At 40.1% G+C, this 16,163-nt stretch overlaps 1 long non-coding RNA gene across 1 annotated transcript in view, besides 1 other annotated feature; it reads left to right on the top strand.

Annotated features, from left to right (window-relative positions):
* Nucleotides 1-16,163, top strand: part of TMEM202-AS1 (TMEM202 antisense RNA 1) — a 66,461-nt gene that overhangs the window by 1,904 nt on the left and 48,394 nt on the right. The gene's annotated exons all lie outside the window — the stretch shown is intronic.
* Nucleotides 10,061-10,330: an enhancer, noted in NCBI's record as "active region_9722". NCBI's record gives its function as "activates an Ori minimal core promoter by ATAC-STARR-seq in GM12878 lymphoblastoid cells {active_cell/tissue: GM12878}" and the evidence as "EXISTENCE:reporter gene assay evidence [ECO:0000049][PMID:35858748]".

The raw sequence follows: 16,163 nt of genomic DNA, 5'->3' as shown, positions 1-16,163 counted from the left end.
TCATTGTACCCCTATCTTGAATGAACCCTACCATCCATAGTCTCCACTTTGATAAATGGAGCAGCTGACCACTATTAGAGAAATGTGCATAGCCATCTGTATTCTATTACTACATTTCTTCTTTTTTTTTTTTTTTTTGGAGACACTCTTGCTCTGGCACCCAGGCTGGAATGCAGTGGTGCGATCACCACTGAAGGCTCAATGTCCCGGGCTCAAGTGATCCTCCCACTTCAGCCTCCTGAGTTGCTGGTACTACAGGTGCACACCACCATACCTGGCTAATTTTTTATTTTTTTTTACAGATACATCTCACTATGTTGCTCAGACTGGTCTGGAACTCCTGGCCTCAAGCAATCCTCCCACCTTGGCCTCCCAAAATGCTAGGATTACAGGTGTGAGCCACTACACCCAGCCTACTTAATTTCAATCACCAAGCACAACTCAACCTTCAATAATTCCCAGCAATCCTATTAAATTTTTCTGGATTGTTCTCCCACTCTCGACAACTCTTTCACACCTTTGCAGTTTCCTCAAACTTCAGCCCTGCCCTTTCACATCTTCTCAAAACATGTGACTTTTAGTCACAGAGGAATTTGAAAATATCAGGACCAATGTGACTTGAGACATGCTGAGCAAAGAAGAGGGTGTTAAGGGATAAAGTCAGAGAAAGCAGATCAAGGTAGGGGGCCAGTAGGGGCCTTGTAGGTCATCTTAAGAAGTTTACATTATTCCAGTGGCAATTATTAACGAGTTTTAAGCAGAAGAGTGAAACTATATGATCTGTGTTTTTAAAAAGATAACTGACTGCTTTATGGTGAATGGACTACGAAAACAAAGCAATTATGAGGCTATCTCAGTAGTCCAGGTAAGTAGATAATAGCCTGAACTAGGGTTGTGGCAGTGGAGGTGATAAGAAGTGGTCAGATTGAGATAGAATTTGAAAGAAGAGCCAAAATATTTGCTGGTGGCTTGACAGTGGGTTTGATGGAGGAAACAAGGATGCCTACTGTATTTGGAGCTTGAGCGACTGGGTGAATGGTGGCATCACTCACTGAAACATGTTATTTGAGGTGCTCGTTAGACATCAGGGTAGAGGTGTTGAGTAGGCAGTTCCATAAACTAAGATACAAGACTGAAGGTCAGGAAAAATTAGAGCTGGAGATACAATTTTACCAGAGTTTACACCAGCAATGTTTAGAAGCGGCATAGGATAAAGGTGAAGAGGATAAAAGTTATTGAAGCAGATGGATCTGAATTTGCCTATGCACCCCCCTGCCCCGTTGCTGTCTGTAACCTTAAGCAAATTACTAAGCCTCTCTTTTAGAGGTTTACTTTGGAGGATCATAATTCCTGTTCTCATAGGATTATTTGTGAGTATCAAATGAAATTATGTATTTAAAGCATTTGACACAGTACCTGGCACATAGCTAAGTACTCACAAAATCAGAGCTTTTAAAAAGTGTCATAAGTCACCTTTATAATCTTTTAATCAGTTTTGTTTATTTGTTTGTTTGTTTGTTTTGAGACGGAGTCTCACTCTGTCGCCCAGGCTGGAGCACAGTGGAGCAATTTCGGCTCACTGCAACCTCTGCCTCCCGGGTTCAGGCAATTCTCCTACCTCAACCTCCTGAGTAGCTGGGACTACAGGCACGCACCACCATGCCTGGCTAATTTTTGTATTTTTAGTAGAGACGGGTTTTACCATGTTGGCAGGCTGGTCTCGACCTCCTGACCTCATGATCCTCCCACCTCGGCCACCCAAAGTGCTGGGATTATAGTCGTGAGCCACCACACCCAGCCTAATCAGTTTTATTTTAATTATGCTTATATGTACACAGCCTGTGTCATCCCCATTTTCTAGGGAAGAAAATTGGTCTGATTTTTTTCTCAGAAACCTTTTCCATGATCTCATGACTTCATTTTTTATTAATATCATGAAAAGTATTACAGTGCTTCTGAATTTCTGGGTCTCCTATCCATGGATAAACCATTATAACCATGGTTTGATGGTTAATTAGCTTTCATTCTATACATATTTTTATAGAATTAATTAGTTAACATTCGTTCTATACATATTTTGGAAACCATCTTAGATTCAGGTTAGGTTATGGTGCTATTTAAGGAAAACCAGTAGAACAACTTCTCTCTGGCCCCACATTGGCCAAGGGATGACCCACATACATTATTTTGTATTGTTTTTTAATGACTTGTTCTTAAAGGTATTGCCTGTGTTATTGTTTTCCCAGCGATGGTGATTACTAGCTAGAAGCACAGTAGTCTCTAAACAACAACAGGAAAAGGTTCTTGAAAAAGAAAATACACAAATTAATACCTTTTTGGTGCCGAGATAATCATTGTTGGTAATTTGGCACTCCCATTGTCCCCAAGTCCTAGTAAGGTAAAAAAATATTCGTATACATTTATAAAATATCTACTCATGGGACAAAATTCCATAAATATTTATATGCTAACCAAATGATTATGTACTGAATACCAACAGGAAGACTATGCAGGTGCTTTTCAGATAAATATAAATTACAGTAGCACTGGAATTTTTCTAAGGGCAGATAATAGAAGTGTAAGCTATGGAAAAGCCAACTGTACCAACTGTTCCAGTTGGCTCAGGACAGGGGTTTCCTGGGACATGGAGTTTTCAGTACCCAAACTGGGAAGTCCCAGGCAAGCTGGGATGGTTTGGTCACCCTACAGGGCATCTGACCAAAAATTCTTATATGTAAGCAATTGTCTCTAAAATCAAGTGAGAAGAAATTGCTTTTTGTCATTTTGTTTATAAAATCAGTTTTAATGCAGCACTTTTTGTTTTTGTTTGTTTTGTTTTGTCTTTTTTTGGTGGGGGGGGGGTGGAAACAAAGTCTCACTCTATTGCCCAAGCTGGAGTGCACTGGCATGATCTCGGCCCACTGCAACCTCTGCCTCCCAGTTCAAGTGATTCTTCTGTCTGAGCCTTCCGCATAGCTGGGATTACAGGCATGCGCCACTACGCCCGGCCAATTTTTTGTATTCTTAGTAGAGATGGGGTTTCACCATGTTGGCCAGGCTGTTCTCGAACTCCTGACCTCAAGTGATCCACTTGCCTTGGCCTCCCGAAGTGCTGGGATTACAGGCGTGAGCCACTGCGCCTGGCCTGTTTTTCTATTGTTTCGTTTGTTTGTTCGTTTTGAGACGGAGTCTCGCTCTGTCGCCCAGACTGGAGTGCAGTGGTGCAATCTCGGCTCACTGCAACCTCCACCTCCTGGGTTCAAGTGATTCTCCTGCTTCAGCCTCCCAAGTAGCTGGGACTACAGGTGCGTGCCACCACGCCCAGCTAATTTTTTGTATTTTTAGTAGAGACAGAGTTTCACCATGTAGCCAGGATGGTCTAAATCTCCTGACCTTGTGATCCGCCCGCCTCAGCCTCCCAAAGTGCTGAGATTACAGGCGTGAGCCACCACACCTGGCCTGTTTTTTGTTTTTTAATGTTTTAGGTGTTCCTGTGTTTTACCAGGAAGGAGGTAAAGAAATTAAATTTTTATCAAAGCACAAAAAGAGACACTGATAAGCTGAGTACTTTGCATTTCTGTAAAAACATCTATGTATTTCAAATTTTGCTATAGATACCAATGAAGTATTACAGCATTATTGAGAGATCATATCACACCAGTTCTAAGTGTTAATAATAATAATAAGGTATAGAGAAACTGAAGTTACCTGCCACATTAGACGTCTGGTAGAGATAGTGACAACCAAAAGTAGAACCCAAGATTCTTAACTGCAGCCATTTCTTTACGATCTCCCCATCCTGGTACAGTGACTCATGCCTGTAATCCCAGCACTTTGGAAGACCAAGGTGGGACAATTACGTGAGGCTAGGAGTTTTAGACCAGCTTGGGCAACATAGTGACACCCTGCCTCTACAAAAGAATAAAAAATAAGCAAATTAGCGAGGGCTGAGTGCAGTGGCTCATGCCTGTAATCCTAGCACTATGGGAGGCCAAGATGGGAGAATCACTTGAGCGTAGGAGTTCAAGGCCAACCTGGGCAACATAGCAAGACCCTATCTCAAAAAAAAAAAAAAGAAAAAATGAGCCAAGCATGGTGGTGCATGCATGTACTCCCAGCTACTCAGGAGGCTAAGGTAGGAGGATCCATTGATCCTCCAGGAATTTGAGGCTGCAGTGAGCTATGATCATGCCACTGTACTCCAGCCTGGGTGACAGAGCAAGGCCCTGTTTCAAAAAATAATAATAAAAATAAAAGATATTCGCTACCTCACCTTTATTCTAGAAATACAGTTGTCCCTTGATATCTGCAGGAGATTGGTTCCAGTACCCCAACAGATAAGAAAATCCATGGTTGCTCAAGTTCCTTATATAAAATGGCATGCTATTTGCATATAACCTACGTACATCCTCTCAAGCACTTTAAATCATCTCTAGATTACTTGTAACCCCTAGTGCAATGTAAATGCTTTGTAAATGGTGGTTATATTGTATTGTTACATTTGATTTTTTTAATTGCCGTATTCTTACTTTTTATGTTTTTTTTTTTTTTTAATATTTTCACTCCATGGTTGGTTGAATCTGTGGATGTGGAAACTGCAGATACAAAGGGGCCTATTGTACAGGGTCTATAGACTTTATTATTGAGCCTGAGCTTTTATACAAGTAATTATCTAATGTGTGATAAGATAATGCTGGAACTAGAGGGCAGGCACAGTGGCTCATGCCTGTAATCCTAGCACTTTGGGTGGCCAAAGCGGGCAGACCACTTGAGGTCAGGAGTTTGAAACCAGCCTGGCCAAAATGGTGAAACCCCGTCTCTACTAAAAATACCAAAAAATTAGTCGGGCGTGGTGGTAGACACCTGTAATCCCAGCTACTCGGGAGGCTGAGGCAGGAGAATTGCTTGAACCCAGGAGGCAGAGGTTGCAGTGAGCCGAGATCATGCCACTGCACTCCAGCCTGGGCGACAGAGCAAGACTCCATCTCAAAAAAGAAAAAAAAAAGATAATGCTGAAACTAGAGTATATACTATCATACAATTGGACAAATGTACAAAACCATAGTGTCTATGTGCCCCATGATTGCAATATACATTTATTTGGCCTTAAATGTGTGCTTACACTACAACAAAAAGTAACATATGATGACCTTCCAAAAAGTGAACGTATATTTATCGTAATGACTTAAGGACTTGAAGGAAAAGTATTTTTGTAGCTAAAGTTTGCAAAACAAACATTTCTCTGTAGTTCACAATATCTCTAGTTTATTTTGTTGCTTTATGGATGTATTTAAATGGATGAATGGGCAAAAAGTGAGCAAATATATTATTGAGTCTATACTAGATGCCACACTAGATGCATATGCATTTTTTTTTTTTTTTTTTTTGAGACTTGCTCTGTCGCCCAGGCTGGAGTGCAGTGGCGGATCTTGGCTTACTGCAAGCTCCGCCTCCCAGGTTCACACCATTCTCCTGCCTCAGCCTCCCGAGTAGCTGGAACTACAGGCACCCGCCACCACACCCGGCTAATTTTTTGTATGTTTAGTATGGTCTCGATCTCCTGACCTCGTGACCTTTTGTATGTTTAGTATGGTCTTGATCTCCTGACCTCGTGATCCACCCGCCTCGGCCTCCCAAAGTGCTGGGATTACAGGTGTGAGCCACCGCCCCCGGCTGCATATGCATTTTTAATTTCTTCTTTATGATCCTGTGAAGTTGGAAGTCTTAACTTCATTTTATAGATGAGAAAAAAGCTCAAAGGTGGAAGTAATTTACCAAAGTACACAACAAGTGGCAGAACCTTGATTCAGATCCAAGTTTTCAGAGTTCAAGTCCAGTTTTTTTCCATATTAATTCTCAGTGATTATAATAAGATCTTATTCTTATTCTAAAATTTGTCTTTGTATTTTTATAAGGGAGTAATTGCTGTCAATCCTACTGCTTTCTAGATTGACAGCCATAAACATTGACTGTATGTAGTATTTGTTCCTCCTGGAAATAGGTAATAAAAGTAGCGTAGCGAATAGACGTGTTATCTTCTGTTCACAACGTTCTACTTTATTCTTATAAATATAATCTTAGCATTCTTTTTTTTGTTGTTGTTGTTGTTGTTTGAGACAGAGGCTCGCCCTGTCGCCCAGGCTGGAGCGCAATTGCGCAATCTCGGCTCATTGCAACCTCCACTTCTCAGGTTCAAGCAATTCTCTTGCCTCAGCCTCTCAAGTAGTTGGGATTACAGGCACCCACCACCACGCCCGACTAATTTTATGTATTTTTAGTAGACACAGGGTTTCACCATGTTGGCCAGGCTGCTCTCAAACTCTTGACCTGAGGTGATCCACCTTGGCCTCCCAAAGTGTTGGGACTACAGGCGTGAGCCACTGCACCTGACTTAATCTTAGCATTCTTAATGAAGACTTACAGTACATAAGCCATGATTTTTTTGGTCAGGCAATCAATAGTTACTTATTAGTGTCTACTCAATGCAAAGCACCTTTCTTGGCATTCTGGAGAAACAAAGAGAGATTATAATTTAGGGAAGGAGATAAATTAAAAGGTTAATTTAAAAAATGATAAGTGCACAGTTGAAGAGATGTCACAAGCCAAGAAGACTGGCACAAATGGTAGTGCTAAAGGAGTTCTTGGTCATGGTGCCATGTGCCTGTAATCCCAGTTACTTGAGAGGCTGTGACAGGAGGGTTGCTTGAACCAAGGTGTTCAAGACTAGCCTGAGCAACATAGCAAGTCCCGATCTCAAAAAAAAAAAAAAAAGTTATAAAAAAAGATAGGTTCAAATCCTAGCTAGGGAAAAAAAGATAGAAGTCACTAGACTGGCATATTCTACAAAAGCATAATTGCTAGACTTTCTTATGCGTCCTGCCTTTGTAACTGCTGTTGCCTCTGCCTGATCTCCTTTCCACCTACTCTTTCCCACAAACTAATTCATGTGCTTCAAAACTACTATTTTTTTCGTATCATTTCTAATATGGTGCTTGATGCCTAGAACATGTAGTCATCTATGTAATGCCCATTCCCAACAAACTTCCAAGCTTTTGTTAATGCTGGAATAAATTAATATAAACCTAAAGTTTATGAATTAGTATAAACCTAAATGTCTGAAAATAATAGACATGTAGTATTGTATTCTTACCTCAAAATATGTTGAATCTTGCCAACATTAAATCAACACTGGTGTTCTTGCCTGTTAATTCTTCTAGGTGTTCATGAAAACTTGAAGGTTGTGTGGAGCAGAAGGAAGAGGGGGTCTGATATGCATGTTCTCCGTGGCACTCCTTATCTAGGATTTCTCTAGGGCAAATGCTCATTTTACCTCCCACATCCCCAGTGGTAACTCAGCCTTTAATACTTCATGGCAAGATAGGATTGATGTTGGAATCCAGCTAAATTGGATACAAATGGTACAATGCAGCTTGGTTATGAATGAATAAAGGACTGCAACAGGAAGCAAAAATCTTTAGGACTTGAAGATTGTAGTAATAGTAAACCCAGAAATAGCAGCACCTGATAGGACCACACAGCCCCAAAGTTTTCAGAAATGAAAAAGCTTTCTTTTTTTGTCTTTTTGTTTTCTCTCTTGGTTTTTTGGTTCTTTTGGTTTCATTTGAGACAATACCATGATTTAGTAGGCATAGTCACCTCTTCCACCCCAGGAACCAAATGCCACTCCCTACAGTTATTTTGCAAAGTGGCATCACAGACATCTTTAGTAAAGTAATAATGGAGAGCTTGTGATACTTGACAAGAAGTCTTTATAAGCCGCTTCACATTTTGCTTTCTGGAAAAGATAATTTAACATTGGATACGTGGATTGACACATTTAAATTGCTGGAGCAGCATACCAAGTTCCTTTTTTTTTTGTTATTTTGAGGTGAAGTTTCAGTTTCGCTGTTGTCCAGGCTGGAGGGCAATGGCGCGATCTCAGCTCACCACAACCTCTGCTTCCCGGGTTGAAGCAATTCTCCTGCCTCAGCCTCCTGAGTAGCTGGGATTACAGGCATGCGCCACTATGTCTAGCTAATTTTGTATTTTTAGTAGAGATGGGGTTTCTCCATGTTGGTCAGGCTGGTCTCAAACTCCCGACCTCAGGTGATCCGCCCACCTTGTCCTCCCAAAGTGCTGGAATTACAGGCGTGAGCCACCGCACCCGGCCTCAAGTTCCCATTTTAAAGAATTTGACAGGACAATAAAGTAATTAAAATCATTACATTGTATCTACATGTTATTAAAACAGAATAGTCCTGGAGGTTTATACCATATTGATTAGTATATTTGTTTACATTAAGCAAAGCCGAGCATATGTGGGCACATTTTTTTTCTAAATCACAAGCTGCATGTATGAGCCGTGAGCCTTTGTTTCTCCTAAGTGAGTGTATATGGGAGATTGCAGGTGGAGAGGGTCAGACAGAGGGATGAGATATTGTGCAACAGTGAGTATTCTTACTCAGCTGACTTTGAGAGGCACAATAGTGTGGTAGTTAGCACCATACATGCCAGAGCTAGAAACCCTACTTATTAAATATGTGACCTTAGGCAAATTAGTTTACCTCTTACAAGCCTGTTTCCTCATCTGAGGAAAAAAAAAGGAAAAATAATAAGGTTTTCCTCATTGGATTGCAATGATGAAATGAGTTAGTGTAAAGGACTTACATTATTATTATTTGACACAGGAAGTGTACAGAGCTTTGTTTTAGGTCTGACTATATACAAAGATGATTATTCAATTTTAAAGTAGTGGCCCTTTGAAGAAAACAAAGCAATATTCATTTGTCAAATTGCTGAAAATGCTACTGTGCTCTTCTTGTATGCCTGTATTTTTATTAGTTAATTCAACAAGTCAGTTGTTCACTAACATGTCAGGCACTGTGCTAGATGTTGAGGTTAAGAAGATAAATAGGCCAGGCGCGGTGGCTCACGCCTGTCTGTAATTCCAGCACATTGGGAGGCCGAGGCGAGCGGATCGCCTGAGGTTGGGAGTTTGAGACCAGCCTGGCCAGACGGTGAAATCCTGTCTCTATTAAAAATGCAAAAAAAAAAAAAAAAATTAGCCAGGTGTGCTGGCATGCGCCTGTAAACCAGCTGCTCAGGATGCTGAGGCAGGAGAATCACTTGAACCCAGGAGGCGGAGGTTGCAGTGAGCCGAGATCCCGCCATTGCACTCCAGCCTGGACAACAGAACGAGACTCTGTCTGAAAAGATAAATAAATAAAACCATTTCAGCTCTCAAGAAGTTCTCAGGCTAGTAAGAGAAGCAGACATGTAAACCATTAATTATAAGTACTATAGTAGAAGTATGATCTGAATGTTAGGGAAGCAAGAATATATGTATCTAACTCAGTGTAGAAGGCACACAAGCGTGTCATGGAGGCCTTCCTAGGGAAAATGTGGCCTGAGCTGGCCAAGCATGGTGGCTCACGCCTGTAATCCCAGCACTTTGGGAGGCCAAGGTGGGCGGATCACGAGGTCAGGATATCGAGACCATCCTGGCTAACACGGTGAAACCCCGTCTCTACTAAAATATATATTTTTTTAAATTAGCCAGGTGTGGTGGCGGGCGCCTGTAGTCCCAGCTACTTGGGAGGCTGAGGCAGGAGAATGGCGTGAACCTGGGAGGCAGAGTTTGCAGTGAGCCAGGATCGTGCCACTGCACTCTAGCCTGGGCAACAGAGCAAGACTCCATCCAAAAAAAAAAAAAGTGTGACCTGAGCTGAGTATTGGAGGACAAATAAATGATGTTCTGGGAAGAGGAATGTGAATGTATATATAAAATATGTAAGTGTGAAATACGGCATATTTGAGCCATGCATTATTTGGGGAACTGCCAGAAATTCAGCATGCCTGAAATTTTGGGTGTATATAAGACTGTTAGGGCCAGGCACGGCGGCTCATGCTTGTAATCCCAGCACTTTGGGAGCCGAGGCAGGCGAATCACATGAGGCTAGGAGTTTGAGACCAGCCCGGCCAACATGGCGAAACCCTGTCTCTACTGAAAATACAAAAAATTAGCCAAACCTAGTGGCACTTGCCTGTAATCACAGCTACTCGGGGGGAGGGCTGAGGCACAAGAATCGCTTGAACCCGGGAGGCAGAGGTTGCAGTGAGCCAAGATCGCACCACTGCACTCCAGCCTGGAGACAGAGCGAGACCCTGTCTCAAAACAAAACAAAAACCTGCTAGAAATGCCATTGTCCCTTCTTGTACCCTTCCCCTAGAAAGGTCCCTTTTTTATTCTTTTTTATCCTCTTTCACTTTCTCTTTACATAACTTGGCTCAAGGCTCCTCGGCTTGCAAATGATAAGAGGTGGAAATCAAAGCCCTGATTCATCTCTCTGTCTCTAGTCTGTACTCCTTCTCTTATGCTACTTTGAAGATTTTCCATTCTTTGAATAAAATTTGTCATTATTTTACTAGGATTTTTGTGAGGGAGATTGTGATAGGTTGTGCTTTACTAGACTAATTTTGGTCATTACATTTAGATTTTATAGAGCTAATAGGATGAGTGCAAGTAGGGGAAGATGTACTCCATATTAATTCAATTAAATATACATATACTGAATGCAGTTGAACGTAACTATTGTGTTAGCTATTATTGAAAATACAAATCAGATTACATTTTCTGTCCTTAAGAAGCTTATATTCTAATACAGGAAATCATGCAGGAAAAAAATCTAATGCCAGATGGTTCGTCAAACAGCTGTCTGTTAAGCTTAGCACTAGGGCCATGTTTCTCAACTTTTATTTCCATTATCAGCCCCCTTATGGAACCCTTTTAGACCTGTTTTTCCTATTCAGCACCCCACTGTAAAATTTTAACACCATAGATACACTGTATATGCTTTAATGGACTGTATGTGTATCTATGCTTTATATATAAAACATACTTTTTTTCATACCCTCCCAAAAAAACAATTTTTTCCTCTTGGGGAGTAATATTGCCCATGTTGAAAATGTGTACACTAAACTAGAGTTACCATTTGCAAGGTCTAAGATTGGGAGTAAAATTCTAGTTTCAGGATTTTAGTAAATATCTAACCATATATTATAATTTAGAAATTAAATTTTCTGAGTTCAGGTAAAACGCACAGCACTGTCAGCATCAGATCAAAAAATAAAATAATTGTATATGCACATACTTGTGTGGCTAAGCTTAAGCTTGTCACGTTGTGCAACTTCAGAGAGTATATTTACAGTATAGTCTGTGTGATGGGAAGGAAAGGAGGGAATGAAAAATCATTTGAAATTATAACCATGATGTGATTAAAAGACAAAATCATCTTAAAGTTTTCTTGACATTCCTATCTTGAACAGAATTATGTGTTTGTCCTTTGCAATATATAATTAATTCTCTGTGAATGTTTAAGTCACCCACATATTAATTTACATACAGGCCAAAAATGTATACCAACCAGAATATTCACAGAATATACACACTTATTTTATTCTTGAATATAGAGCTAAGAACATGAATGCTGTGCTAATTTTTACTCCATAAAGACATTATAAATCAGTTTTATCAAAGCTTAAGTACCCACCCTAGGACAAAAATAAATTATTCTGACCTATATGCCAAGGAACTAAAGGAGATCTCCAGCCACCAAAAAACCTGTGAGGAACTGAATTCCTACCAAAGAACTGAAAGCCTTGGCTTAACAGCCTATGAGGAGCTGCATTCTGCCAACAACCATGTAAGCAAACTTGGAAGTGAATCTTCCTGCAGATGCGATCGCAGCCCTGGGCAAGACTTTTGTTTGCATCTTTGCGAGAGATCCTGAAACAGAGAACCCAGCTAAGCCACACCCAGATTCTGACCCAGGGATACTCTGAAATAATAAATGTTCATTGTTGTTTTTTGTTTGGTTGGTTTTGTGTGTGTATGGTTGGGTTTTTTGGGTATTCCCCCTCCCCCCAAAAAATGAGGTCTCCCTATGCTGCCCAAGCTGGTCTCTAACTCCTGGGTTTAAGCAGTACTTCCACCTCAGCCTCCTGAGTAGCTGGGATTACAAACGTACACCACTGTGCCCTGTTGTTTTTTAATTGAATTCTCCTCCACTTCCACCAAACCATCTCCTTTTAAAGATCAACTGTTCAATAAGTACCTGAACAGTTGATAGATTCCACATACTATACACTACCATAGAACTTAGCACTTCTTTATAGCATTTATCAAATTTGCACTTAAACAGTATGTTGTCTCTCTGAGTTGGTAAATTACATAAGGATGAGAACATCCCTGCTGTGTTTATTACTACAAACCATATATAACACAGTTTTTGATATTTAGAAGACATGCAATAAATAAGGTAAAAATTTGTCTCCCCATTCGTTTTACCAAGTTATATCCTTGTCCTATGTTATATATAAAAATAAAATCTACATAAAGGTCTGAAGAAAGAAAACATAAAATTAGTGGGAGAAATATTGTTGAATATTTAAATATTTGAGAGTGGGGAAGGCCTTATCAAGGATAGCACCAAAGGCAATATCTATAAAGCAAAAGATTGATAGGTATGACCATATAATTTGATACTTCTGCAAAAACAACATAAATAAAAGATACAAACTGGAAAAATACTTACAAAATATATGACATGAAGTTATTTATCCTTAATGTATAAAAGTCATATGAATGAATAAGAAACACATGTACACATGCTAGTGTTTTGGAGAGAGGGACAGAGAACATAAACTGAAATACAAATGTCTAATAAATGACGAAAAGTTCAACTTTATTAGTAATTGAAATGGAAATTGATAACAAGCTATCATTTCTACCTTTCAGAATAATAGAGACTTTATAAAATACTAATACTGAGTTTCGAAGGGAGAAGTGCAAGGACAGAATGACTACTTATAGGAGTATAAATTGGTAGTTTTTTTAGAGGGCAATTTGTAAGAAAAACCTTTAAATGAGCATGCCCTATGATCTAGCAATAATTCTTTTAGTAATTTAACCTAAAAAAATTTGTACCAAACTTTAGCTGCAAAAATGTTCAGGGAATCAATTGGTTAAACAAATTATGGCCGAGCGTGGTGGCTCACGCCTGTAATCCCAACACTTTGGGAGGCCAAGGCAGGCGGATCATGAGGTCAGGAGATCGAGACCATCCTGGCTAACATGGTGAAACCCCATCACTACTGAAAATACAAAAAATTATCCGGGCGTGGTGGCATGCACCTGTAGTCCCAGCTACTCGGGAGGCTGAGGCAGGAGAATTGCTTGAACCTGGGAGGCAGAGCTTGCAGTGAGCCAAGATCGCACCACGGCACTCCTGCCTGGGCGACAGAGCAAGACTCCGTCTCAAAAAAAAAAAAAAAAATTAAAACAAATTACATAATATAAAATCGAAAATTGTGTCCCCATTTAAAATGATATTGTGGAATATGAATTGACCTGGAAAGATGGTTATCGTATGTGGTTGAACAAAGAAAAAAGAGGCAAATTCATCCATTTTAAGTATATGATTCAATGAGTTTTAATACATTTACAGAGTTGTGCCACCATCACATTCCAATTAAAATGATCTTTCTTTTCTTGCTTACCTATATTTTCTTCTGCTTCTATGCTAGTTATGTATAAGTGGCCATTTTAAAAGTTAAATTCCCCCTTCAGTACTGACTCCTCCAAAAAAAAGGCAAATATAAAATGTCAAAATAATAGTAACGATAGCTAAAATGTTTTCCAAAGAATGAAAAAGATAACAAGCAAACACACTTTAATTTTTGTAGAGAGATTAAATACTTGCAGAGAGATTGAAGGGCCTGCTTTCAGTCTGTGTAAGTATGCCTATTTGCAAAAGGGCTTTACTCTCTTATCCCCACCTACCCTCTCTTTCTCTGACCTTGCTGATCCTCCCAATGTATTTCAGCTTTAAAAGGATAAGAAGTTTTAGTATGGGAGTCATTAAAAGTCCTAATTCAGCCTTAATTCCTAAAAGTAAAAGAAACTAGGCTTGATAAACATAAGGAAACATGAATTCAAGAAATAGATAGGAACACAAAAGAAAATACTAGTGGGGCATGATGGTTCACACTGTAATCCCAGCACTTTGGGAGGCTGATGCAGGAGGATTGCTTGAACCCAGGAGTTTGAGACCAGCCTGGTCAATATATTGAGACCCCATCTCTACAAAAAATTTAAAAAGTGGTGCTCACTGTGGTCCCAGCTATTCAAGAGGCTGAGGTGGGAGGATCACTTGAGCCTGGGAGATTGAGGATACAGTGAGTTACAATCACACCACTGAACTACAGCCTGGGTGACAGAGCAAGACCCTGTTTAAAAAAATGCTACTGGAATACATTGCTTTTTCAAAGATCAATATATAATAACCAATTGTTATAGCTGTGAAAATTACACATTATATACAAAATAAAAAGCACTGATTTGCCACGTTGGGCAAAACCACAATAATTTTCCAACTTTAAGCCACTTCTGCCATCATCAAGATATCAGATCTAAAAGTACCAGAAAAATAGGGATGAGACTTGAAATTTTCTAAAAATTTTATGCTACTCAGATACATTTTGCTTTACAGAAATAGAAACAGAACACACATAAAATACATATTTACCTGTGTTTCACTGTTAGAATGTAAGCTAGTGCTAGAATAAATATGAAAATATAGGAGAAGGGGCTGAAATGCCAAAGTCCTTTCATATCAGGAGACAAAAGATCAAAAGATACACTTTTCACATAACAGAATCACAGAGTATTATGACACAGTAGTTGGTTCTACTTCAACTTATATATGAATGAGAAAATCAGAACAATTATGACCTGTCCATAGTGATATATTAGCTAGTTACTATCAAAAAAACACAAAACTCTCATCTCTTTCATCATAGTGTAGTACACTTTCCTTTTTCTTTTTTTTTTTTTTTTTTTTTTTTTTTGAGATGGAGTCTCACTCTGTGGCCAGGCTAGAGTGCAGTGGCACAATCTCAGCTCACTGCAACCCCCGCCTCCCGGGTTCAAGTGATTCTCCTGCCTCAGCCTCCCGAGTAGGTGGGACTACAGGCACCCACCACCACACCCAGCTAATTTTTATGTTTTTAGTAGAGACGGGGTTTCATCATGTTGGCCAGGATGGTCTCGAGCTCTTGACCTCGTGACCCACCCACCTCGGCCTCCCAAAGTGCTGGGATTACAGGCATCAGCCACCACGCCTGGCCTACTTTTCTTTAATCCTTGCTTTTATAGGAGACAATAGAGTAGAGGCTCTGGAGTCTAAATGCTTGATTTCAAATCCTACGTCACCACCTAACTAGTTATGTAATTTTGGGCAAGTTACTCAATATTTCTGGGTCTTATCTGTATAGTGGAGGATCTAATAGTACTCAAAATAAAAGTATAACAATTGATATATTGTATGTAAAATGCTTAATACAGTGCCTGGCGCATGGTAAGCATTCAATAAACACTAGCTATTTGTTACTCAGTGTAAATAAAGTTTTTTTGGAGTTTTGTTTTTTTTTTTTTTTTTTTTAGATGGAGTCTCGTTCCGTCGCCTAGGCTGGAGTGCAATGGTGTGATCTAGGCTCACTGCAACTTCCGCCTCCTGGGTTCAAGTGATTCTCCTGCCTCAGCCTCCTGAGTAGCTGGGATTACAGGAGCCCACCACCATGCCGGACTAATTTTTGTATTTTTAGTAGAGACAGGATTTCACCATGCTGGCCAGGCTGGTTTCGAACTCTTGACCTCAGGTGATCCGCACACCTCAGCCTTCCAAAGTGCTGGGATTACAGATGTGAGCAACTGCACCCAGCCTAAATAAAGTTTTTAAATGATAACATCACGGGCAAGAGTGTCACTAAAAATGTGTAAAACAAGGGGTTGAAGAAGTTGAATTTGTGTATGGAAGCAGAGAAGAGAGAAAAGGGCATGGTGTGGAGAGGGAAATTATGAGTCAGGAAACAAACTAGAGTTAATTACAGTAAGATAATCAGAAGAGAAGTGGACCATAGGATAATTTTATTTTGTTTTATTTATTTAATTTTTGAAACAGGGCCTCACTCTGTCTCCCAGGCTGGAGTGCAGTGGTGTGATCATGGTTCATTGCAGCCTCAACCTCGTGGGCTCAAATGATCCTCCCACCTCAGCCTCCTGAGTAGCTGGGACTACCGGCGCACGCCACCACACCCAGCTAACT

The sequence above is a fragment of the Homo sapiens genome, chromosome 15 (assembly GCF_000001405.40).
Source record: "Homo sapiens chromosome 15, GRCh38.p14 Primary Assembly".
NCBI classification, from domain to species: domain Eukaryota; kingdom Metazoa; phylum Chordata; class Mammalia; order Primates; family Hominidae; genus Homo; species Homo sapiens.
The sequence above is the reverse complement of the archived record's forward strand: the minus strand, read 5'-3'. Positions and strand labels throughout refer to the sequence as shown.